The sequence below is a fragment of the Homo sapiens genome, chromosome 22 (assembly GCF_000001405.40).
Source record: "Homo sapiens chromosome 22, GRCh38.p14 Primary Assembly".
NCBI lineage: Eukaryota > Metazoa > Chordata > Mammalia > Primates > Hominidae > Homo > Homo sapiens.
The window spans coordinates 20,924,060-20,949,415 of record NC_000022.11 but is presented as its reverse complement, the minus strand read 5'-3'; the positions used below and the strand labels follow the sequence as shown (position 1 = coordinate 20,949,415).

Genomic DNA, 25,356 nt, shown 5'->3' with positions numbered 1-25,356 from the left:
GGAATGCAGTGGCCCGATTACAGCTCATTGTAACCTTGAACTCCTGGGATTACTTGAGGTCAGGAGTTCGAGACCAGCCTGGGCAACATGGTGAAACCTCATCTCTTCTAAAAAATAGAAAAATTAGCCGGGTGTGGTGGTACATGACTGCAGTCCCAACTACTCAGGAGGCTGAAGTGAGAGGATGGCTTGAGCCCATGAGGCTGAGGCTGCAGTGAGCCGTGATAGTGCCACGGCACCCCAGACTGGGCAACCGAGTGAGACCCTGTCTCAAAAAAACAAAAATCAAAACACACACACACACAGAAACAGCTTTTGAGCACAAAGCAGCTCCCCACCCCACACCAACCTTCTATTTTGGCCACTAACCCCAACAGGATAGAAATGAACACATGATTCTGAGAATGGTTAAAGTCAAATTACACAAAAAGGTGTATTTTAAAAAAAGACCTTCAGGTGGTAGTCATTGTAGACAGGGTGTTACTCTGTTCAGCAGAGCACTAATCTAAGGTTCTGTATTGTGTACTTAGGTCCATAAAAACGCTACTTGAATATAAGACCCACCTAAGATCTAAGACAATAAGAAATAAGCTTTTGTCTGCTTAAACACATATAGAACCAGGCATCGTGGTACATGCCTCTAGTTCCAGGTCCTTGGCAGACTGAGGTGGGAGGACTGCTTGAGCCCAGGAGTTTGAGACCAGCCGGCGCAACGCAGCAAGACTACATCTCAAAATAAAAACAGGCATAAGGTTTTTATGGCACAGTCCAATGGTCCGTGCCATGAACTTTGGAGCATGCAGGACACCAAACAAATGTCCTGGTTCTGCCACTTTTAGAAACTACATGACTGTAGCAAACTGCTTAAGTTCTCCAAGTCTCAGTTTCCTTCCAACTTTGAAAGGTTCTTGCAGTAATTAAATGATTGTTACTTGAGTAGAGATTCCTGAATAGAACCCATCCCCCAACCCCACGCCCCCTCTAATGATCATACCCTTTGGATGCACGAAGGGAAGAGCTGGAATTAGCACTGAGAAGCACAACACTGTATATATCAGAGGATTTCCAACCTTGTCACCAACAAGGGTCCTCTCAAAACCAATGAGGAACAGGCTGAAAACGGGGTCTAATAAATGACTGTGATGGATACTAAGCAGCCAAAGAAGACTACGGGAAGATTAAAGATGAGGCTAAGGATTGAAAGCTGCCAAGAACACTCACACCTCACGCCTTCCAATTAACTTGTGAGTCTGGCGGTCTTCAACAGGATACTTTCTACATGATCCTACCTAATCAATTAAATAAATTTACTGAACATCTACTCCATGGAAAATGGGCAGGTCAGTTCGTATCCTTAAAAAACTTCTGTCTTTTGAGTGGGATACACAATGAATCTTTGTCAGATAATAACATAGTGTGAAAAGCACAAAGTGGCCGGGCGCAGTGGCTCACACCTGTAATCCCAGCACTTTGGGAAGCTGAAGTGGGTGGATCACTTGAGCCCAGGAGTTCAAGACCAGCCTGGGCAACACAGTGAAACCCTGTCTCTAAAATACAAAAATGAGCCAGGCGTGGTGGCATGCACCTGCAGTCCCAGCTACTTGGGAGAATGAGGTGCGAAGATCGTTTAAGCGCAGGAGGCAGAGGTTGCAGGGGTGCAGTAAGCTGTGATCACACTACTGCACTCCAGCCTGGGTGACAGAGCAAGACCCTGTCTCAAAAAAAAAAAAAAAAAAAAATGAAAAAAAGAAAAAAGAAAAGAAAAGAAAAGAAAAAGCCTAGGCGCAGTGGCTCACATCTGTAATCCCAACACTTTGGGAGGCCAAGGCAGATGGATCACCTGAGGTCAGGAGTTCGAGACCAGCATGGCCAACACGGCAAAACCTCATCTCTACTGAAAAATACAAAAATCACCAGGCGTGGTGGCAGATGCCTGTAATCCCAAATTCCAACTACTCGGGAGGCTGACGCAGGAGAATCACTTGAACCTGGGAGGTGGAGGTTGCAGTGAGCCAAAATCGTGTCACTGCACTTGGTGTAGCTGGGCGCAGTGGCTCACACCTGTAATCCCAGCACTTTGGGAAGCCAAGGTGGGAGGATCACTTGAGGCCACATGTTCAAGACCAGCCTGGGTGACATAGTGAGACCTAGCTTCTATTGAAAAAAAAAAAAAAGAGAGAGAGACAGAAAACACATAAAAGCAGCAAGTGGCAGAAAAACACTATTAACTCAATGCTGCAGAGCACAGGATTCAAGGAGCTACTGCTTAGACAGAGGGAACCTGGACCAGCAGAAGTAGGTCAAAGAGCAGCCTAGGAAGAGAATGGCTGAGAGACTTCTGGTGGCCCCTTGACCATTAGTGCCTCATTGTGGCCTTGCAGGAGTTTCCACATGCTAAAACACCATCATCATTCTTCATGCTGTTTTCTATCTCAACACAGTAAAGATATCCTGGCTGTTATGCAGCCTGCTGTCCAGTTACAGGCCTGGCTATGGACCAGCTTCTTCCATGGCTCTACCAAACAGTGCTTGTGCTCAGATCCTAAAATGGCTGGTAGCTTGGCAGCCATCTTGCCGTTTCCCTCATCACTCCCTATTCTGGTGTGGTGCTCTTCCTCTGGGTTCATGGTACACGGATCCAGCTCAAAGAAGCACTCACTGTGGAGGGCAGATCAATCTGTTTTTTTTTTTTGGAGGGAGGGGTGCTCTACACCTTCAGAGAAACTTCTCTAGTAATGAACTATAGAAATGATCCCTGAAAGTATAGTCTTAGAGGGCAGACCAATCTTGATGTGGGTAGATACCAACTCAGTTCACGGGGCAAACTACACCTGGGAGATGTGGCTGACCTTATCAACAGATTAAGAGGAAGCACATACCTAATGCATCATCCTTATTAATTTTCACTCTATGGAACAGGCCAATCCTAATCATTATTAGAACTGTCAAAACACTATCTTTGTGGCTGGCCGCACTTAGCACCTGGGGAGTGGACACATTAACTCTAAAACACATATGCCAGGGACACTAGTCAGCCCTTTTATGTCTACCAAGAGTTAAATGGCAAGAGGGTACCTCTTGCTGCTGGCAATAGTTTCCTACAGCCCTACTTGTCCAGAGTGTTGTCCAGGAAATGACTCTACTGACTGGCATCTGGCACTTGATTCAAAGAGCAGTCAACGCACTGGAGGGCCCAAGCACTGGTCGTCACAGCAGTTTTTTGGTTCCATAATCAGTCTCCGCTCCCTGTACTGATAGGCTGAGATTGTATGCTTTCAGGTTACATAAAAGTAAGATCAGGAGTACACTGGTGACACTGGAATCATAAATTCTAACTTGAGTGATGTGAATGGGTCTCAGTGATCAAAGAACATCCTGCGAAGTTGTATGCAAATACATGAATGTATGCTGTTTTTCTGAAGACTGCACAACTTTCACTGGATTCTCAAAGGGGCTTATAGCCCCCAAAATATCTAAAACAAAACAAAGCCCATGTACTATAATCACCAGACAGGTATCATCCTGCTCTCTGTGGCTTTTATTCCTCTAGTCATTCAACAAATATTGAACATCTATGTGTAGGCCGTGAAGAGATACAACAGAGGACACAAAGGAGACAAACACCCCTGGCCCTCACGGAGCTGCATGGGTCCACTGCCTGCCCCTGTGTTCTCTGTGCACCTGCACCTGAATCAGAGTAGCCAGAGAGATAGAGGCTTTAAGAGGGCTAGGCTCCCTGTCTGTGTGCCCTGGCTAGCAGTCAAGTAATCTCATACACTCAAACCCACAACTGAATGCTATCTAATAGGGTTTTAATACTGAAGACTTGGTCTCTTTCTTAAAATTACCACTATCCTTCAGAGTAGTAACTTGATTCAAGAGGGCTGTTTACTGGTTAACACAGAGATTTTATTTGGGAAAGGTAGGGGGCGGGGCTAAAGGTATCACAGGCCAGTATGCTGTGGTACAAGAGTATGTGGGCTTTTGGAAAAGAGGAAGTCAAGACACGATCATATATATAAGAAAAGATACAAATTCAGCAAAGTCGCAGGGTACGAGATCAACACATAGATATCAGTTGCGTCTTATATATTGGTAATGAATAATTAAGAAAGTAATTCCAAGCCGGGTGCGGTGGCTCATGCCTGTAATCCCAGCACTTTGGGAGGCCGAGGCAGGCAGATCAGGAGGTCAGGAGATCGAGACCATCCTGGCTAATACCGTGAAACCCCGTCTCTACTAAAAATACAAAAAATTAGCCGGGCGTGGTAGGAGGCGCCTGTAGTCCCAGCTACTTGGGAGGCTGAGTCAGGAGAATGGCGTGCACCCGGGAGGTGGCGCTTGCAGTGAGCCAAGATCACACCACTGCACTCCAGCCCGGGTGATAGAGCGAAACTCCATCCCAAAAAAAAAGAAAGAAAGTAATTCCAGGCAGGGCACGGTAGCTCATGCCTGAATCCTAGCACTTTGGGAGGCGCCAAGATCATGCTGGGCAACATGGTAAAACCCCAATTCTACTAAAATACAAAAAAAAGTTAGCTGGGCGTGGTGGCAGGCACCTGTAGTCCCAGCTACTCAGGAGGCTGAGGCACAAGAATTGTGCCACTGCACTCTAGCCTGGGCAATGGAGCGGGAGTGAGGCTCTGTCTCCAAGAAGAAAAAAAAAAAAGTGATTCCATTTACAATAGCATCTAAAATAAAAATATCCAAGAATAGGCTGTGCGGTGGCTCATGCCTGTAATCCCAGCACTTTGGGAGGCCGAGGCAGGTGGATCACGAGGTCAAGAGATCGAGACCATCCTGGCCAACATAGTGAAACCCCATCTCTACTAAAAATACAAAAATTAGCTGGGCATGGTGGCGCATGTCTGTAGTCCCAGCTACTTGGGAGGCTGAGGCAGGAGAATCGCTTGAACCAGGGAGGTGGAGGTTGCAGTGAGCCGAGATTGCACCACTGCACTCCAGCCTGGTGACAAAGCCAAGACTCTGTCTAAACAAAACAAAACAAAACGAGAATAATTTAACCATGGTGAAACACTTGCATACCAAAAATTATTAAAGACCTAAATAAATGCAAAAACATTTGTGTTAATGGATGGAAAGACTTATGATTAAGATATTAATATTGGCTAGGTGCAGTGGCTCACACCTGTAATGCCAGCACTTTGGGAGGCTGAGACAGGAGGATCACTTGAGCCCAGGAGTTTGAGACCAGTCTGGGCAACATAGTGAGACCCTGCCTCATAAAAGAAATTAAAAAAAAAAAAAAAAAAAAAGCTAATACTACCCAAAGTGATCTACAAATACAACACAATCCCTATCAAAATTCTAACAGCCTTTTTTTTTGCAGCAATGGGAAAACCAATCCTCAAATTCATATAGAATTGCGAGGAACCTGAATAGCCAAAACAACCTTGAAAAGCATCAAAGTTAGAGGACTTACACTTCCTTGACTTCAAAATTACTACAAAAAGCTATAGTAATCAACAGTGTGGTGCTGGCATATGGAGAGACATATAGAACAATGGAATAGAACTCAGAGGTCAAAAATAAACCCACACATTTATGATCAAGTGATTTTTTTTTAACACGTGGGAGTCTCACTATGTAGCCCAGGCTGATCTTCAACTCCTAGGCTCAAGCAATCTTCTCACCTCAGTCTCCAGGGTACCTGGGATTACAGGTGTGCACCACCACACCCAGCTTGGCCAACTGATTTTTGACTAGGGTGCCAAGTCTATTCAACAGGGAAAGAATAACCTTGCTGGGACAACTGCACCAATTTCCACATGCAAAAGAAAGACTCTGAAACCTTACCTCACACTATACACAAAAAGTCATTTAAAATGGATCAACAGCCTAAATACAATAACTAAGGTCAGGCATGGTGGCGCACGCCTGTAATCCTGGCACTTTGGGAGGCCAAGGCAGGTGGATCACCTCACTTTAGGAGTCCAGAAGAGCCTGGCCAACATGGTAAAACCCCATCTCTACTAAAAATACAAAAAATTAGCGGGGTATGGTGGTGAGTGCCTGTAATCCTGGCTATTTGGGAGGCTGAGGCAGGAGAATTGCTTGAATCTGGAAGGCAGAAGTTGCAGTGAGTCGAGATCGTGAGTGCCATTGTACTCCAGCCAGGGCGACAGAGTGAGACTCTGTCTCAAAAAATATAAAACAAAATAAAAAACAAAAACGCTCAAATAACCCAATTAAAAAATGGGCAAAGAACTTGAAAATATTTATCCAAAGATTTGCCAAAAGCCAATATGAAAAGATGCTCAACATCAGTCACTAGGAACATGCAAATCAAAACCACAATGACATACCACTTCACACCTACTAGGATGGCTATAATAAAAAATATGGAAAATAACAAGTGTTGATGAGGATGTGGAAGAATTTTTTTTTGGCGGTGAAGAAGGGAGCCCTTATATACTGCTGGTTGGAATGGAATATGGTACAGCTGCTATGGAAAATAGTTTGACAGTTCCTCAAAAAGCTAAACATAGGAGGCTCATGCCTATAATCCCAGCACTTTGGGAGGCTGAGGTGAGCGATCAGTTGAGGTCAGGAGTTCAAAGCCTGGCTAACATGGCAAAACCCTGTCTCTACTAAAAAATACAAAAATTAGCCAGGTGTGGTGGCACGTGCCTATAATCCCAGCTACTCAGGAGGCTGAGGCAGGAGAAATCGCTTGAACCCAGGAGATGGAGGTTGCAGTGAGCCGAGATGGTGCCACTGCACTCCAGCCTGGGCAACAGAGCAAAACTCCGTTTCAAAAAAAAAAAGCTAAACACAGAATTACCCATTTGACCCAGAAATCCACTCTGAGATATATAACCAAAATAACTGAAAGCAAGGACTCAAACATTTGTGTGTCAATGTCCACTGCAGCATTATTCACCATAGCCAAAATAACGAAAACAACTCAAGTATCCATCAAGAGATAAATGGATTAACAAAACGTGATATATACATAACAATGGAATATTATTCAGCCCTAAAGGAATGAAGTCTTTATCATAATTTCCTGTACAGATGGAGTCTCACTATGTTGCCCAGGCTGGTCTCAAACTCCTTGCCTCAAGTGATCTTCCCACCTTGGCCTTTCAAAGCACTGGGATTACAGGTGTGAGTCACCCCATGCTGGGACAAGAAATGAAGTTTTGATATATGCTACAATCTGGATGAACTCTGAAAACATTGTACCCAATGAAATAATTCAGACCCAAAGGACAAATATTGTATCATTTTACTTATATCAGGTAGGTAGAATAGGTAAATTCATAGACAGAAGGTAGATAGTTGGCAAACTATATAAACCTCAAGCTCTTAGTGTGGGAGCAGTCATGAGAATAAACTTCTCTCTGTGAACCCCTAGCTGATGGTTCTTCTTACTCAACAGCTATCACCAGAGAACAGCTATCACAGAAAACAGAGGTCAGCCTAATGACCAGGATGGGACAGGCCCTGCCTGAACCACACCAGGGCCCCAATTCCATGGCATTCTGACTTAATTTACACATTAGGAAAGAGGAACAAAAACCTTTTAAAAATATTTTTTTCTGGGCCGGGTGCAGTGGCTCACGTTGTCAGGAGTTCAAGAGCAGCCTAGCCAAGGTGGTGAAACCCCATCTCTACTAGAAATACAAAAACTAGCCCGGCCTGGTGGCGGGCACCTGTAATCCCAGCTACTCGGGAGGCTGAGGCAGAGAACTGCTTGAACCCGGGAGGCAGAGGTTGCAGTGAGCTGATATCATGCCACTGCACTCCAGCCTGGGTGACAGAGCAAGACTCTATCTCAAAAAAAAAAAAAAAAAAAAAAAATATATATATACACACACACACACACACACACACACACACACACACACACATAAAATATATATATATATACACATACACAAACACACATATGTATATATTTTTAAATACGAGAATATTCTAAAGGACTTTCTAAAGATTCCTACATTTGCATGGTATTATAGTCAAGGAAAAAAAGCACTTTTGGTACTAAAGAAATAAAGCTGAGATGCTGTGAAGGACAACTGACACAATGTCAAAGACAGAAGGGTGGAGGAGGATCCTGGTCAGTCCTGATGAAAGGTCCAAGGAGGCAAGTGGAAATGATTCCTCGGGCACCAGACATCCACACACCACCACGGCATGGGAAGGACACACCTGAGATTCTTGCTTAAGGTGAATGCTAACTTGTGGGCCTTTCTGGGAAGCCTTGGTAAGAAGGCTTCACGTTGCTAGAATGTGACGTGAGGTGAGGGACAGAAGCCCCATTACACTGGGAGCCTGTAAGCTTGCCACATGGACCCCCAGGGCTGAGTCAGATGCTTCATGATGAACACATACAGCCCCAAGAGCACTGCAGGCCACCCAGCAGGAGGAACTCATGATGATCTCTTAGGGATTCATCATGAGTCCAATACAAAGTCCAATCAGTATTAATGAAACCTAAACTTACTTTGCAGATTACTTCACCTCAGCAAGCAGATGCAGCAATGAAGAAAATGCTAATACAAATTTAATTCTAAGCAATGAAGCAAAACCAATTGGTAAAGTGGGAATCTGATAATTCCAGGTCAGTCAGTAAAGGAAGTTGTACCATGGGCCCTTGGGAAGGCCAATTCAAAAGACACAGAGACCAGATGTAATCCAAATTACTACAGGTTTTGAAATGGGGCAAAGACAATCCAAGAAGAAATTATAAAAACGCAATCACAGATGACACAGAGCAATTATGGGAATGAAGAGCAAGAATGTTGAGGATGCTGGTGACCTCAAAGAACGCTGAGTATCACTAAGAAAAAAAATGCCAAAAAAAAAAAAAAAAAAAAGGAGCACCAAAGATGAGGAAAGGGTGTTCTTAAGAGCTGACCAAACACACTGGCAAACAGCAGTAAGAGTCCAAGACTAGTCTCCTGTCATAGAGAAATTACATCACAGGACACTGGAAGACTTAGGAAGGGTCAAGTCTCTTGTTTTTTGTCAAAAGATGGCAAATTCCATAAAATGTAAAACAGTGAGCTTGAAATGAAACCCAGACAAAATTCTGGATGCGATTAGCTAACAGATGGTTTGTGAGAATTTAGAATGGGAAGTGGAGCATCTGGAAGCAGCATGAGCCCACCAAGAACAAGTCACGCCAGATCAACCTCACTGTCTTTTTATAGATATAAGAGGCAGATCTGGAGAGGCTGCATAGAAGGACTTTAGTACAAAGATCTGTTGGTGCTTTTACAAAACCTGCAGTTAGGAAACTGGAGGGTAATGAATATGCTAGATGACATAACCAGGATTTTAAAAGATTCAGAGGCTGGGCGTGGTGGCTCATGCCTATAATCCCAGCACTTTGGGAGGCTGAGGCGGGCGGATTGCCTGAGGTTAGGAGTTTGAGACCAGCCTGGCCAACATGGTGAAACCCTTTCTCTACTAAAAATAAAAAAATTAGCCAGGCGCGGTTGGCAGGTGCCTGTAATCCCAGCTACTCAGGAGGCTGAGGCAGGAGAATCACTTGAACCTGGGAGGTAGAGGGTGCAGTGAGCCGAGATCACGCCATTGCACTCCAGCCTGGGCGACAAGAGCGAGACTTCAACTCAAAAAAAAAAAAAAAAGGATTCAGAGATGTACGCAGATCATATGACAAGACCAATAAAAACCAAACCAACAACAAAACTACAAAACTCAAGAGGGACAACTATGGGGCCATGCACTTTTAAGTCCACACACTGGGCTAGGCAAACACAAGAAGGGGACTTGGCTGTGGCTTCTTTCTCCCTGGTGGAGAGCCAGAACACAAGACTTGTCAGCTACCACAGCCATACAACATGAGACAGACCACCTCATGAAACTGTTATGGGCCAGGCGCGGTGGCTCACGCCTGTAATCCCAGCATTTTGGGAGGCCTAGGCAGGTGGATCACGAGGTCAGGAGATGGAGACCATCCTGGCTAACACGGTGAAGCCCCGTCTCTACTAAAAAATACAAAAAAAAAAATTAGCCGGGCGTGGTGGCAGGTGCCTGTAGTCCCAGCTACTCCGGAGGCTGAGGCAGGAGAATGGCGTGAACCCGGGAGGCGGAGCTTGCAGTGAGCCAAGATGGCGCCACTGCACTCCAGCCTGGGAGACAGAGCAAGACTCTGTCTCAAAAAAAAAAAAAAAAAAAAAAAAAGCAACTTATGTTCCAGATGTGCCACAGGAAATACATCTTTGTTTTGTTCACTACTGTATCCCAAGTTCCTAGCCTGTCACATAATAGGCACTCAATAAACTTTTGTTGAAGTGAATGTTTTTTTGGAGGTGTCCAAGTTGAGACTGGAGGGCCATGGAGTTAGACTCTGAAGAGGGCTAAAAGCACAGGGAAAATGATTGAACTAAATGACCTAAGGTATCAATACAACCTTTCTGCTTGATTTATACCAATTCCATCCCAAATCACTTTAAGTCTCACTTGTAAGCCTGGGAAACTATTTTTCCTCCACACGATCTGTTTCACTGACTTCAATTCCCACAGATCCCCAGCTTGTGTCACCAATTGTTTTCTTATGCCACACCATGGGGGAAAAGCACAGGTGAGGCTGCATTTAGACACTTAAATACAAATTTTCATACAAATAGTCATGGGTGTGTGTACCCAGGGTTAAGTACAATTCTAAAGTTGCTATTTCTTCCGTTTTAGTCAGAAAAGCATACTGGAATGCAAATGAATGAGAATGATATTATTACATGACAGTCAAGCATTTGCTCTAAATTTAAAAATTAATATATAAAAAGAAATTGCCTGTAAACCTGACCTTGTCAGTTGTGAGAAACTGGCTGTTTCATGACTCAAATGAAGGCAATGCAAGAAAATTGTTAATCTCCTCAGCTCAGCCCTTCGTGATATGGCAACAGCCCACTGCCCTGGCTGTCTTTTGCCACTTTTGCCCTTTGCCCAGCATGCTCACCTGTCTACAGCTATTCAGTGACGTTAGTCTCATCACACAAGCTCTACTCACCTTACAGATACCAAGTATTCCCCTTCAAATCAAATCTCAGGATCAACTCTTTCCTTGCAGAAAAGTCAGCAAGAAAAGAAAATAGCTAAACACAAACTGGTTTTAAAATATCTCTTTACTTACAGGAATCCTCTTTTGAAAATCAAGATTAAAAAAAATTGTAAAATAATTTAAGGAATAAAGTCACCTAAGCCATCATCATTCTCTGTAATACTATCTAGGGGAATAACGAAGCTTCAATTATCAGCACATTTTGTCCTACTTGTCTGTTTCTCATTTTAATTTTAATACTTTTCCTAGTAACCTAATTGCAAAAGTCCCAAGAGTTGTTTTTAACAAGATCAGACAGGCACCACTATCCTAATAATAGTTTTAGAAGATAACAATCATAAAAACATTTACCCCAGCTACTCAGGAGGCTGAGGCATGAGAATCGCTTAAACCCGTGAGGTGGAGGTTGCAGCGAGCGGAGATCATGCCACTGCACTCCAGCCTGAGTGACAGAGACTCAGTCTCGAAAAAAAAAAAAATTTACTTATGCTATAACCTAAAGTTTCATTTAAATATTCAGAAAGCAAAATACCACTAAATGGAATTTGGTAAAGGTCTATTTCTCAGGTCCCATTTACATTCTCTCTCAGTCAAGCACCAAACAAACCCTTGGCTGAAGCTCAGCTGGCTGGGTTAGTGTCATGAGGCTCAGGTGTGGAGAACCTCTCTCTGGGGCCAGAGAGACTAGGAACTATGTATGGCCAAGTATGTAGGTTATCTTAAAATACACAATCATTAACCAGGCTTCCTTCCTCCTACTCCTGACCTCTCTCAGGCACCTACTTATCCACCCACTCACCAAGCTCTAAGTGATCCCTTCTGTAATACCTGGTATTCCTCCCTACAACCTCCTAGTACTCGCTCCAGTGAGCACACACGCACGCACACTAGATACAGGTTTCTAAAACACACATCCTAGAGCCAGAGGTCAACAGGCAGGTACCTAAAATTCTGACTGGGAGCCTCGACTTTCAAGGTTCTCAACGAGCAGCTGCCAAACACACACGAGTCACACCCACTCTGACTCCTAGCTCCCCAATCCTATGCTATGATGGACGTGAAAATGCCTCAAAAGGCTGAAAACACAATGCATGCTACAGGGTATTAACAGCCCAGAGCACCAAGGTGCTGAGGCATAGACCAGGCCAGAGGCATGCACCTGTGCCTAGGCAGGTCTGTGTGTGGGTGAGAAAGCTGGAAGGCCTGGCCAGGTGCAGCGGCTCACGCCTGTAATCCGAGCACTTTGGGAGGCTGAGGCGGGCAGATGATCAGAGGCTAGGAGTTCAAGACCAGCCTGGCCAACATAGTGAAACCCGGTCTCTACTAAAAACAGTTGGGTATGGTGGCGGGCACCTGTAATCCCAGCTACTTGAGAGGCTGAAGCAGAAGAATCGCTTGAGCCCAGGAGGCAGAGGTTGCAGTGAGCTGAGATTCTATCAACTGCACTCCAGCTTGGGCAACAAATGAGACTCCATCTCGAAAAAAAAAAAAGGAAAGAAAGCTGGAAGGCCTGCTCAGCCAGCACTCCTATCTGTGGAGGCAGCCTCCTGAGACCTGGAGCCTCTCAGTCCCTGACCCCCACCACAGCCTCAAATGCTCCTTTTCCTTATAGCCAACATGAAAGGGAGGCAAAAAATCAAACATTGAAACAAACCTTCAGGTGCAGTTCATTCAGATACTACTACTGGTCCAAAGAAAAACTTGAGGGCCAGGCATGGTAGCTCACGCCTGTAATCCCAGCACTTTGGGAGGCCGAGGTGGGCAGATCACCTGAAGTCAGCAGTTCGAGACCAGCCTCACCAACATGGAGAAACCCCGTCTCTATTAAAAATACAAAAAAATTAGCCGGGCATGGTGGCACATGCCTGTAATCCCAGCTACTCCGGAGGCTGAGGCAGGAGAATGGCTTGAATCCAGGAGGCGGAGGTTGCAGTGAACCGAGATCGTGCCATTGCACTCCAGCCTGGGCAACAAGAGCGAAACTCCGTCTCAAAACAAAACAAAACAAAAACAAAAACAAAAAAACACTGAGGACAACCTATGGAAAAATACCCATGAAACCAATTCTAGCTAACTTTTATCTGTGGGCAGGCTGTTTGGTGAGTCAGGATTTGGTTTTTTTGAAGCAAGAGGGTCCCTTACTTCATCCTTCTGAAATGCACTTAGGCTCTCTCTCAACATTCTCCCCCCTTTTTTTGAGATAGGGTCTCACCCTATTGCCCAGGCTTAAATGCAGTGTCATGATCTCGGCTCACTGCAACCTCTAATTACCTGGTTCAAGCAATTGTTCCACCTCAGTCTCCTGAGTAGCTGAGGCTACAGGTGCATGCCCACCACGTCTGGCTCATTTTTGTATTTTTTGGTAGAGATGGGGTTTCACCATGTCTGTGACCAGACTGGTCTCAAACTCCAGACCTCAAGTTATCCACCAGCCTCGCCCTCCCAAAGTGCTGGGATTACAGGCATGAGCCACTGTGCCCAGCTGAGAAAGAGTTTTTTTAAAAAGTAATATTTAGTTAGAAGAAAATGACTTGGCCAAGTGCAGTGGATCATGCCTGTAATCCCAGCACTTGCGGGCTAAGGTGGGTGGGTCACCTGAGGTCAGGAGTTCGAGACCAGCCTGGCCAACATGGTGAAACCCCGTCTCTACTAAAAATACAAAAATTAGCCGGGCAGGGTGGTGCATGCCTGTAGCCCCGCTACTCGGGAGGCTGAGGCAGGAGAATCACTTGAACTCAGGAGGCGGAGGATGCAGTGAGCCAAGATCACGCCACTGCACTCCAGCTTAGGCAACAAGGCAATAGAGCGAGACTCTGTCTCAAAAAAAAAAAAAAGAAAAGAAAATGACTTGGTAATTAAAATGTTCAAGTTCTATTTCATGCTATTCTAATTTACAAAATCCATAACAAGCAAGGGCTGATGTATTTTAAAATCATTCCTCTATGGCTGGGCGTGGTCGCACATGTCTGTAATCCCAGCACTTTGGGAGGCCAAGGCAGGCAGATCGCCTGAGGTCAGGAGTTCAAAACCAGCCTGGCCAACATGGTGAAACCCCATCTATACTAAAAATACAAAAATTCGACGGGCATGGTGGCAGGCATCTGTAATCCCAGCTACTAAGGAGGCTGAGGCAGGATAATCATTTGAACCCAGGAGGCAGACGTTGCCATGAGGCAAGATCATGCCACTGTGCTGGAGCCTGGGTGACAAAGTAAGACTCCATCTCAAAAAAAATCATTCCTGGGCCGGGCACGGTGGCTCACACCTGTAATCCCAGCACTTTAGGAGGCCAAGATAGGCAGATCACGAGGTCAGGAGATCGACACCATCCTGGCTAATACGGTGAAACCCTGTCTCTACTGAAAATACAAAAAAATTAGCCAGGCGTGGTGGCGGGTGCCTGTCGTTCCAGCTACTTGGGAGGCTGAGGTAGGAGAATGGTGTGAACCCAGGAGGTGGAGCTTGCAGTGAGCGGAGATTGAGCCACTGAACTCCAGCCTGGGCGACAGAGTGAGACTCCATCTCAAAAAAAAAAAAAAAAAAAAAAAAAATTCATTCCTCTACCAAGCTCAAGAGAAATTCTAAGACATTTTCATATTTCTCAACTGATTCCAATGTTAGAAATACAGAACCATATATGTTGATTTTGCCTCTAGGTCATGGGTCTTCCTTAATCATTATCTTTCCTTACTGGAAGAAAAACCAACAACTGCAAAACTAAATCTGTTAGGCTTTGGGAACAAGAAAGAGCAAGAAGGCTGAGAATTTGGGGCAAACAAGGAATAGGACAGAACAAAACAAGCTGTGAAACACTAATAATGGGCCAGGCATGGTGGCTCACATCTGTAATCCCAGTACTTTGGGAGGTCGAGGTAGGAGGATTGCTTGAGGCCAGGACCTCGAAATCAGCCTGGGCAAACAACTCTTTTAAAATTAGAGACCTCGTCTCTATAAAAAAATTTTAAAATGAAACGCTAACAGTGCGTATCTTCCAAAATCATCCAGTGCTCTAATTCCATGAATATAAGCTTAAATGAGCAGAAACTAAACTAAAACTAAAAATTAAAACCAAATGTCAAAGGACCCAAAAAGCTAATCTGAACAGATTTTACCTCTAATGCCAAGGCAGTCTTGTCATAAGCACAGGGTACTCTTTTCTGGATTGCTTTCGCAAAGACAGGTCCATTCTGTGTGGATGGCAAAGGGGTGATTGCTGCCCCAGGAGAACCGGAAACTGCAGGTAGAGGAGTTGTGGTCTGAGGTTGAGCGTATGCATGAGCAGGTTCTGGGATCCCATAACTGTTGGAATTCCTATTTCCATGCTTTCCGTGTGGTGAGGATCTCACAAGCTTTTCGACATAAGGGACAGGAATCATCCCAACCCGGCCATCCTTGTTCCGGGCACTCCACCACTGTTCTTCAGGCTTCTCTATTATCACTAGGATCTCACCCTTTTTAAAGGGCAGGTCTTCGGCATCATTCCCAGGAAAATCATACAGAGTCCGTACATATTCCAGGTTATCTTCTGCTGTAGGCAGGTTGGGTGCTGAGACAGATCCCATTGGTGGGCTTGGATACCTTAAGAGAGAAAGAAAATTACTCTAAGAGAAAAATCTTACTCTAAGCCAGTGCCTGTCAAACTTCTTAATATACCACTCTCCTCTATAATAAATTATTTTCCTTTTTTATGAGACAAGTTTTGCTCTTGTCGCCCAGGCTGGAGTGCAATAGCGTGATCTTAGCTCACTGCAAACTCTGCCTCCCAGGTTCAAGTGATGCTCCTGCCTCAGCCTCCTGAGTAGCTGGGATTACAGGCGCCCACTACCACGCCCAGGTAACTTTTTTTATTTTTAGTAGAGAAGGGGTTTCACCATGTTGGCCAGGCTGGTCTTGAACTCCTGACCTCGGGCGATCCACGCACCTCGGCCTCCCAACGTGCTGGGATTACAAGCATGAGCCACCATGCCCGGCCTCTACATTTTTTTTGGAGATGGAGTCTTGTTCTGTTGCCCAGGCTGGAGTGCAGTGGCAGGATCTCAGCTCACTGCAACCTCTGCATCCCAAGTTCAAGCAATTCTCCTGCCTCAGCCTCCTGAGTAGCTGGGACTACAGGCACATGCCACCACGCCCCGCTAATTTTTTCTATTTTTAGTAGAGACGGAATTTCACCTTGTTAGCCAGGATGGTCTTGATCTCCTGACCTCGTGATCTGCCTGCCTCGGCCTCCCAAAGTGCTGGGATTACAGGTGTGAGCCACTGAGCCCAGCCTTTTTTTTGGAGACAGAATCTTGCTCTGTCACCCAGGCTGGAGTGCAGTAGCGCAATTTCAGTTCACTGTAACCTCTACCTCCCGTGTTCAAGTGATTTTTCTGCCTCAGCCTCCCGAGTAGCTGAGATTACAGATGTGCAACACCATACCCAGCTAAATTTTGTATTTTTAGTAGAGACAGGATTTTGGCATGTTGGCCAGGCTGGTCTCAAACTCCTGCTGGCCTCATGTGATCCACCCGCCTCAGCCTCCCAAAGTGCTGTCATTACAGGTGTGAGCCACCACGCCTGGCTTTATTTTCCTTTCTATATTCTTAGTAGTTAAGAAGGTTCTATCATGTTGTAATTTTTGTAGTCTGTACTGTCCCAAAAGTTACTATTCTGAATGTCTTTTCAAATTACAAGTATACACACACACATACACTCCATCTCTGTTTTACAGAAACCTTTTGATTACACAGAGATACCTGGTTTAAATTTATTTTTATAATCTCAAGTAAGTTCGGAAGCTGCCTTCCTTTGGACCCTTGTCACAACCACCACACACTCTTCCTCCCAGTCCTAATCTATGGCTTACATCCTGCACACTTCCCTGGACACACAGAAAATGACAAAGGCCTCTGCCTCTGGCCTCTTGAAAAAAAAGGAACAAAAAAGGGCTTACAGACTTGCCAAATTAAAAATAATAAATCCACCAGGCGTGGTGGCTCAGACCTGTAATCCCAGCACCTTGGGAGGCCAAGGCAGGCAGATGACTTGGAGACCTGCCTGTCCAACATATCAAAACCCTGTCTCTACTAAACAGACAAAAAATGAGCCGGGCATAGTGGCACACACCTGCGGTCCCAGATACTCAAGAGGCTGAGGCAGGAGCATTACTTGAGCCCAGGAGTTAGAAGCTGCAGTGAGCTATGACTGCATCATTACACTCCAGCCTGGGCAACAGAACAAGACTGTCTCAAAACATAAATAAATAAGAGGCCGGCGCAGTGGCTCATGCCTGTAATCCCAGCACTTTGGGAGGCTGAGGTGGGCGGATCATGAGGTCAGGAGATCGAGACCATCCTGGCTAACACGGTGAAACCCCGTCTCTACTAAAAATACAAAAAATTAGCCGGGCATGGTGGTGGGTGCCTGTAGTCCCACTTACTCAGGAGGCTGAGGCAGGAGAACGGTGTGAGCCCGGGAGGCGGAGCTTGCAGTGAGCCAAGATTGCACCACTGCACTCCAGCCTGGGTGACAGAGCGAGACTCCGTCTCAAAAAAATAAAATAAAATAAAATAAAAATAAAAATAAATAGCTAGCAAGAGTAGTAGGAGCAAGAGTAATAATAAAGAGCTCATACTTATTATCTATGCTAGGCATGGTTTACGATCTTTGAAGAGATTGGATTATTTAATAGTCTGTGAGGTAGATGCTGTTATTATCCCCATTTTACAAATGAGGAGCCAAAGAAGAGGTTAGACTTGCACTCAGGGAGTCTGGTTCTAAACTCTTCACTCATAATGAGCTAATCAGCCTTAGGGACGAACCCTGCATCTGTCAGGTGTATGAGAATTAATGGCATAATGCATGTGAGGCATTCAAAATTACCGAGCAGCACCAAGCATCCAATGTACCGACATGAACACACACATACCCCTTCAAGTATATCCCTGCTTCTATTTCTTTCTCTTTTTTTTGAGACAGGGTCTTGCTGTCATCCTGGCTGGAGTGCAGAGTGGCACAACCACAGCTCACTGTAGCCTCCACTTCCCAAGCTCAAGTGATCCTCCCACTTCAGCCTCCTGAGTAGCTGGGACTACAGGCAGTTGCCATCACACACAGCCAATTTTTAAATTTTCTGTAGAGATGGGGGTCTCACTATGTTTTCAGGGCTTGTCTTGAACTTCTAGCCTCAAGCAATTCTCTCGCCTTGGCCTCCCAAAGTGTTGGGATTACAGGTGTGAGCCATCACACCCAGCCCCTGCTATTTCAAGAGCCACAGAGAGCCTGTGAACAGTCCAGTAAGTACCATATAAATTTCAGACACTATTAAGAGCACAGTCAGTTCCACCTTAGACTCCATCCAAGAGTATTTTATTATTTGTATAGTTAAAAGCAGTTAGCCAGTGTGTGGTGGCTCACGCCTGTAATCCCAGCACTTTGGGAGGCTGAGGTGGACGGATCACAAGGTCAGGAGATTGAGACCATCCTGGCTAACACGGTGAAACCCTGTCTCTCTACTAAAAATACAAAAAATTAGCCAGGTGTGGTGGCACACGCCTGTAGTCCCAGCCACTCGGGAGGCTGAGGCAGGAGAATGGTGTAAACCCGGGAGGCGGAGCTTGCAGTGAGCCAAGATCACGTCACTGCCTGAAACAGTTAAGACTCTATCTCAAAAAAAAAAAAAAAAAAAAAAAAAAAAAGCCAGGCGTGTGGTGGCTCACGCCTGTAATCCCAACACTGGGAGGCCGAGGCGGGAGGATCACTTGAGGTCAGGAGTTCAAGACCAACCTGGCCAACATGACAAAAAACCCTGTCACTACTAAAAATACAAAAGTTAGCCAGGTGTGGTGGCGTGCGCCTGTAGGCCCAGCTACTTGGGAGGCCGAGGGAAGAGAATTGCTTGAACCTGGGAGGCAGAGGTTGCAATGAGCTGAGATCACACCACTGCACTCCAGCCTGGGTGACAGAGCAAGACTCCATCTTAAAAACAAACAAAAAAAAGAAGATAGCCAAGCCCATTCATTTACGTATTGTCTATGACTGTTTTTCACTACAAAGGCATAGTTGAGTAGTTGGACAGAGACTCTATGGAAAAGCTGAAAATATTTAAAATCTGACCCTTTACTCAACAGTTTGCTGATCCCCCATCTAAATTCCTGGGTTAGGGAGGCAAAGTGTGCTTTTCAACTTCCTTGCTTCCCTGGTGAGGGGTATGTCTGTGTAGAAATTTGATAAAGATAGTTTCTATTTCCCTCCACTACTATACTGCTATAGTGACCTTGGGGCTCATTTTCTGTGTTAGTATCTGCAGAGATATTCATAAATTTGACACCAAATCAATCTCACCAGCCATAACCCTGACACAAATTCCAAGTCCTCTGCCCTATATTCTCAAACTCATTTATTCATCAAACTCCCCTGAAAATTACACATTAGTTCCACTGAAGAGATAAATACATGTTGCTCCATGTCAGATATCTTAGCCTTTCCATTAGACCCCACTGTCTAAAGAAATATGAAGCATATTCATCAGAAAATTTATTGCTTCCCAATTATTTGTTCTTTGAGCAAGGTTGAAAATAGCACCCTCCCCCAACTTCCCTTTAAAATATAAAGTGTTGCCCAGGCGCAGTGGCTCATGCCTGCAATCCTAGCACTTTGGAAGGCCGAGGCAGGTGGATCATGAGGTCAGGAGTTTGAGACCAACCTGGCCAACATGACAAAACCCTGTCACTATTAAAATACAAAAATTAGCCAGGTGTGGTGGCGTGTGCCTGTAGGCCCAGCTACTTGGGAGGCTGAGGCAAGAGAATTGCTTGAACCCGGGAGGCGGAGGTTGCAGTGAGCTGAGATCATGCCACTGCACTCCAGCCTGGGCGACAGACAGAGATTCCGTCTCAAAAAATTAAATAGATAAGGCAGGTGCAGTGGCTCACGCCTGTAATCCCAGCACTTTGGGAGGCCAAGGCGGGCGGATCAAGAGGTCAGGAGATCGAGACCATCCTGGCTAACACAGTGAAACCCCATCTCTACTAAAAATACAAAAAAATTAGCTGAGCGTGGTGGCAGGCGCCTGTAGTCCCAGCTACTCGGGAGGCTGAGGCAGGAGAATGGTGTGAACCCGGGAGGCAGAGCTTGCAGTGAGCCGAGATCGCGCCACTGCACTCCAGTCTGGGTAACAGAGTGAGACTCCGACTCAAAAATAAATAAATAAAATAAAATAAAATAAAATGCACAGGGTTTTCAAGCCCATCCAAACACCCTTGACCATGCTTCTCACTTTTTGCCTATTGTCCACTACACACTTTGAGCAGCAAAGCCCCTAACAACTAATTCGTAACTGACTTTTCTTTTCTGATGATAACGAATCTCTCAGCTCTTTTGGTTAAAAGCGTTCTCAGTTTCTACATGTATAAACCATACACAAAACATCTTTAAACCAAGTGCTAATATGTTCTAAGCTTAAAATCTCCTTATGCATGCTAAGAACCAATACAATCAACTTCTAGAAAAAGGAAGTTTCAAAGGTGCTGGTAATATTCCTTTTTTTTTTTTTTTTTTTTTTTTTGAGATGGGATCTCGTTCTGTTGCCCGAGCTAGAGTGCAGAGGCACAATCATGGCTCATTGCAGCCTCAACCTCCAAGGCTCAAGCGATCCTCCCACCTCAGCCTTCTGTGTAGCTGGGACTACAGGTGCATGCCACCACATCCGATTAATTTTTGTATTTTTGGTAGAAACAGGGTCTTGCCATGTTGTCTAAGCTGGTCTTGAACTCCTGAGCTCAAGCAATCTTCCCACCTCAGCCTCCCAAAGTCCTGGGATTACAGTCTGGGCCACCACGCCTGGCCAATGTTTTATTTATTTATTTTTTAAAGGGAGCACACAGATGATAGTTTTTTTTGGCTTGTTTTGTAAATTTTTTTGAGATAGCGTCTTGCTCTATGGCCCAGGCTGGAGTGCAGCAGTACGATCATGGCTCACTATAGCCTTGACCTCCCAGGCTCAAGTGATCCTCCCACCTCAGCCTCCCATGTAGCTGGGACTACAGGCATGAGCCACCATGCCCAGCCAATCCTTGTTTAATTTTTTGCAGAGATGGGGGTTTATGTTGCCCAGGCTGGTCTTGAACTCCTGGGCTCAAGCAATCCTCCTACCTCAGCCTCCCCACTATTTGGGACTACAGGTGCATGCCACCACACCCAGCTTACATATACTTTTTTTTTGAGACAGAGTCTCACTCTATTGCCCAGGCTGGAGTGTAGTGGTGTGATCTCAGCTCACCAAAACCTCTGCCTCCTGGGTTCAAGCTATTCTTGTGCCTAAGCCTCCCCAGTAGCTGGGATTACAGGGCCCCACTACTGCCGGGCTAATTTTGTATTTTTAACAGAGATGGGTTTCACATGCTGGCCAGGCTGGTCTTAAACTCCTGACCTCAAGTGATCTGCCTCCCTCGGCCTCCCAAAGTGCTGGGATTACAGACATGAGCCAACGTGCCCAGGCTTACTCTTTTTCCTTTTTTTTTTTTTTTTTTTTTTTTGAGACAGAGTCTTGCTCTGTTACCCAGACTGGAGTGCAATGGTGCGATCTCAACTCATTGCAACCTCCACCTCCCGGGTTCAAACAATTATCCTGCCTCAGCGTCCCAAGTAGCTGGGATTACAGGCATCTACCACCACGCCCGGCTAATTTTTGTCTTTTTAGTAGAGACAGGGTTTCACCACGTTGGCCAGGCTGGTCTCGAACTCCTGACCTCAAGTGATCCACCTGTCTTGGCTTCCCAATGTGCTGAGATTACAGGCGTGAGCCACGGCACCCTTACTCTTTTCTATGTATGAAATATTTCACAGTTAAAAAAAAAAAAAAAAAGGTAGAAAACTTAATTCCAGCTGGGCGTGGTGACTGGCTCATGCCTGTAATCCCAGCACATTAGGGGGCCGAGGCAATTGGATCACCTGAGGTCAGGAGTTTGAGACCAGCCTGGTCCAATATGGTGAAACCCCATCTCTACTAAAAATACAAAAATTAGCCGGGCATGGTGGTGGGCGCCTGTAATCGCAGCTACTCAGGAGACTGAGGCAGGAGAATCACTTGAACCCGGGAGGTGGAGACTGCAGTGAACCGAGATCATGCCACTGCACTTCAGCCTGGGCGACAGAGCGACACTGTCTCAAAAAAAAAAAAAAAAAATTCAATTCCAAGATGAGCTAAGTACTTCTCTAGTGAAACTGCTTTAACCACCATTCTTTTTTTTTTTTTTTTTTTTTTTTTGAGACGGAGTCTTGCTCTGTCACCCAAGCTGGAGTGCAGTGGTGCGATCTTGGCTCACTGCAATCTCTGCCTCCCAGGTTCAAGCCATTCTCCTGCCTCAGCCTCCCGAGTAGCTGGGACTATAGGCGCACGCCACCATGCCTGGCTAATTTTTTATATTTTAGTAGAGACAGGGTTTCACTGTGTTGGCCAGGCTGGTCTCGAACGCATGAGCTCAGGCAATCCACCTGCCTCCGCCTCCCAAGGTGCTAGGATTACAGGCGTGAGCCACCATGTCCAGCCAGTAACCACCATTCTTTATCACTGACCAGCATTTAATGCCCAGGTCCCCTCCCTTCTGTCCCTGGGCTTTCAGGCCATCACTAATGGCTCCTCCTCCTATGCTTGTGGCTGCCTCTCCTTCCGCAGCTTCTCTTTCTCTACTTATTCCTGTTCTGCCTCCTCATTCTGGGTGATCCCATCTAAGCTGCGATTCCCAAATCTATATGTATTCAGCCCTTACCTCTCTTCTCAATAACAAACCCATCAGATTGCTAAATACCACCTGGCTTCCAGCAGGTACCTCAAAGAAAGATTCTTCCTGTTGAAAAGAATCACGCACCCACCCTAATCCCTTTCTCTTGTCTCAAAGGCACCACTCAATCCTCTCTGAAGTCATCATACCTCTCCCCTCACCTTCTATGTGCCACTTTACATTCCTATGGCATTTGATCTTGGCTCAGCTTCTCAGGGTCCCTCTCCAGTAACAGAGAATTAGTCCTTCAGATCTTTCCCCACCCAGAGCAGTTTCTCAAAAGTAAAACTCATCAGTTCTCCTTTTAAAATCTGACAGTTCTCTTTTTAAAAACTTTAGATGGCTCCCATTGTTAAGCTCATTTACAAGGCTGAGGAGGCCCTTTACAAGTTGGCTTTATCTTTCCTTCCTAGGTTCCTGCCCATCATCTACATTAATTATAACTGTGTCTTTACCAGCAAGCACTGCCACCATCTCTTCTACCACCACCTCTTCTACCTCGTATACTTGTTCTCATCCTTAAAGAATCAGTTGAAGAGCATCTCCTCTTTCAAGCCTCTCCCCACCTCTTAGGTACAGTTGATTGCCTTTGCTTTTAAGCTGTCATGGCATTCTAATTTTTTCAATAGACCAAAGCTTCTCAAAGACAAAAATCAAAAACAAAAACATGGTTTACTTCCATTAGATTCCAAGAGTCTAGCAGTGAGCTTTGGTATATTGTAGGCCTCTATATATCAAAGAACTTCCCTTTCCTATTTCCCTCCTTTTTTGTTTCTGAAAGCACAAAAGCTCAGGTATTCAAATTACCTAACTCTGGTTTAATACTGTCACAAAACTGGTGTGACAGAATTCGAATACCGTTGAGTGTGCACCTTCAAAGCCTCTTCTCATCCTCTTCCACTGTTCTTGTCACGTTCATTCCAGGTGAGTTGCTATGTGCCTGGTGGCCCCACCCAACTTGTTATGATTTTAGCTCAGATTCAACTCAAGTTAATCTGAACTCCCAACTAATAGGCTGTGCCCCCTTTTACTTATCTGAAAGAATTAAAATAATGTTTTTTGTTTGTTTGTTTTTTGTTTTCCGAGACGAAGTCTCGCTCTGTTGACCAGACTGGAGTGCAGTGGCGCTGGCGCAATCTCGGCTCACTGTCATCTCTGCCTCCCAGGTTCAGTCTCGAACTCCCGACCTGCCAGACCTCCCAAAGTGCTGGGATTACAGTCGTGAGCCACCACGCCCGGCCCAGAATTAAAATATTTTAATCTTAAAGACCCTCAGAAATCTAGTCTAATCATTCAGATCAAAAGGAAAAATTTAGGTCACAATTCTGTGGATTTGAGTTTTAAAAGTCACAAATCGAATGGCTACTAGTACTTTCCATGGGAACACAACTCTTTTTTTTTTTTTTTTTTTGAGACGGAGTCTCGCTCTGTTGGCAGGCTGGAGTGCAGTGGTGTGATCTTGGCTCAGTGCAACCTCTGCCTCCCAGGTTCAAGCGATTCTCCTGTCTCAACCTCCGGAGTAGCTGGGACTACAGATGCATGCCACCACGCCCAGCTAGTTTTTGTATTTTTAGTAGAGACGGGGTTTCACTATGTTGGCCAGGATGGTCTTGATCTCCTGACCTCATGATCCGCCCGCCTAAGCCTCCCACAGTGCTGGGATTACAGGCGTGAGCCACCACATCCGGCTGGGAACACAACTCTTAATTGGACAAGATTCCATTCTCAGCATGACAGTGTTCTTGTTTTTTGTTTTTTTGGAGAGAGTCTCACTCTGTCGCCCAGGATGGAGTCCAGCTGCACGACCTCGACTCACTTTAACTTCCACCCCCCAGGTTCAAGTGATTCTCCTGCCTTTAGCCTCTTAGGCACACGCCGCCATGCCCAGCTAATTTTTTGTATTTTAGTAGAGACAGGGTTTCACCGTGTTGCCCAGGCTGGTCTCAAACTCCTGCACTCAGGCAATCCACCCACCTTGGCCTCCCAAAGTGCTGGGATTACAGGCGTGAGCCACTGCACCTGGCCATGTTCTTGTATTTTTCTCTGAATCAAATTCACATGATTTTAACTACTGGTCAGGAGAAACGCAAAGGGGTTTATTCACAGAGTTGAATTCTATGCTGATTAAAATTACTGGCAATCCTTTCCCCATTCCAAATTATGGAAGTCTAGATTTGAGTTCTTAAATAATTAGAACAGGGGATGTAAAGAGGAGGCACAACCATGCTTCTTGTTTCCTCCTGTCCCTTCAGGGATTGGCTTCTACTTCACAGGTGTGTGAGGCTCCTCTTCTGGGCTCTCAGGTTAGACTAAGCACCCTTTCTCAGTTCTCCCACAGCTGTTTCACCATGCATGGAGATTAAATATATTAAATATATACAACTTACATTCATTCATTCATTCATTTTTTGAGACAAGGTCTGGCTCTGTTGCCCAGGCTGAAGTGCAGTGGCATGATCATAGCTCACTGTAGCCTCGACCTCCCATGCTCAAGCAATCTTTCCACTTCAGCCTCCCAAGTAGCTGGGACTTAAAGGC

At 45.3% G+C, this 25,356-nt stretch overlaps 1 protein-coding gene and 1 pseudogene across 2 annotated transcripts in view, besides 1 other annotated feature; both read right to left on the bottom strand.

Moving 5' to 3' along the window:
* CRKL (CRK like proto-oncogene, adaptor protein) overlaps positions 1–25,356 on the bottom strand; it is a 36,341-nt gene that overhangs the window by 4,332 nt on the left and 6,653 nt on the right. For both annotated transcript variants that reach the window (NR_156180.2, NM_005207.4), the window contains exon 2: positions 15,172–15,637. Coding sequence is in view for 1 of the 2 variants with exons in the window: in NM_005207.4 (NP_005198.1) it covers positions 15,172–15,637 (466 nt within the window). In the remaining variant the exon portion in view is untranslated. The remainder of the gene's footprint in view (positions 1–15,171; positions 15,638–25,356) is intronic.
* LOC124905167 (uncharacterized) lies at positions 2,698–2,771 on the bottom strand (annotated as a pseudogene).
* Positions 24,138–24,785: an enhancer, noted in NCBI's record as "NANOG-H3K4me1 hESC enhancer chr22:21278919-21279566 (GRCh37/hg19 assembly coordinates)". NCBI's record gives its function as "activates a minimal SCP1, AML or CMV promoter by ChIP-STARR-seq in naive H9 embryonic stem cells {active_cell/tissue: H9 hESC(naive)}" and the evidence as "EXISTENCE:reporter gene assay evidence [ECO:0000049][PMID:30033119]".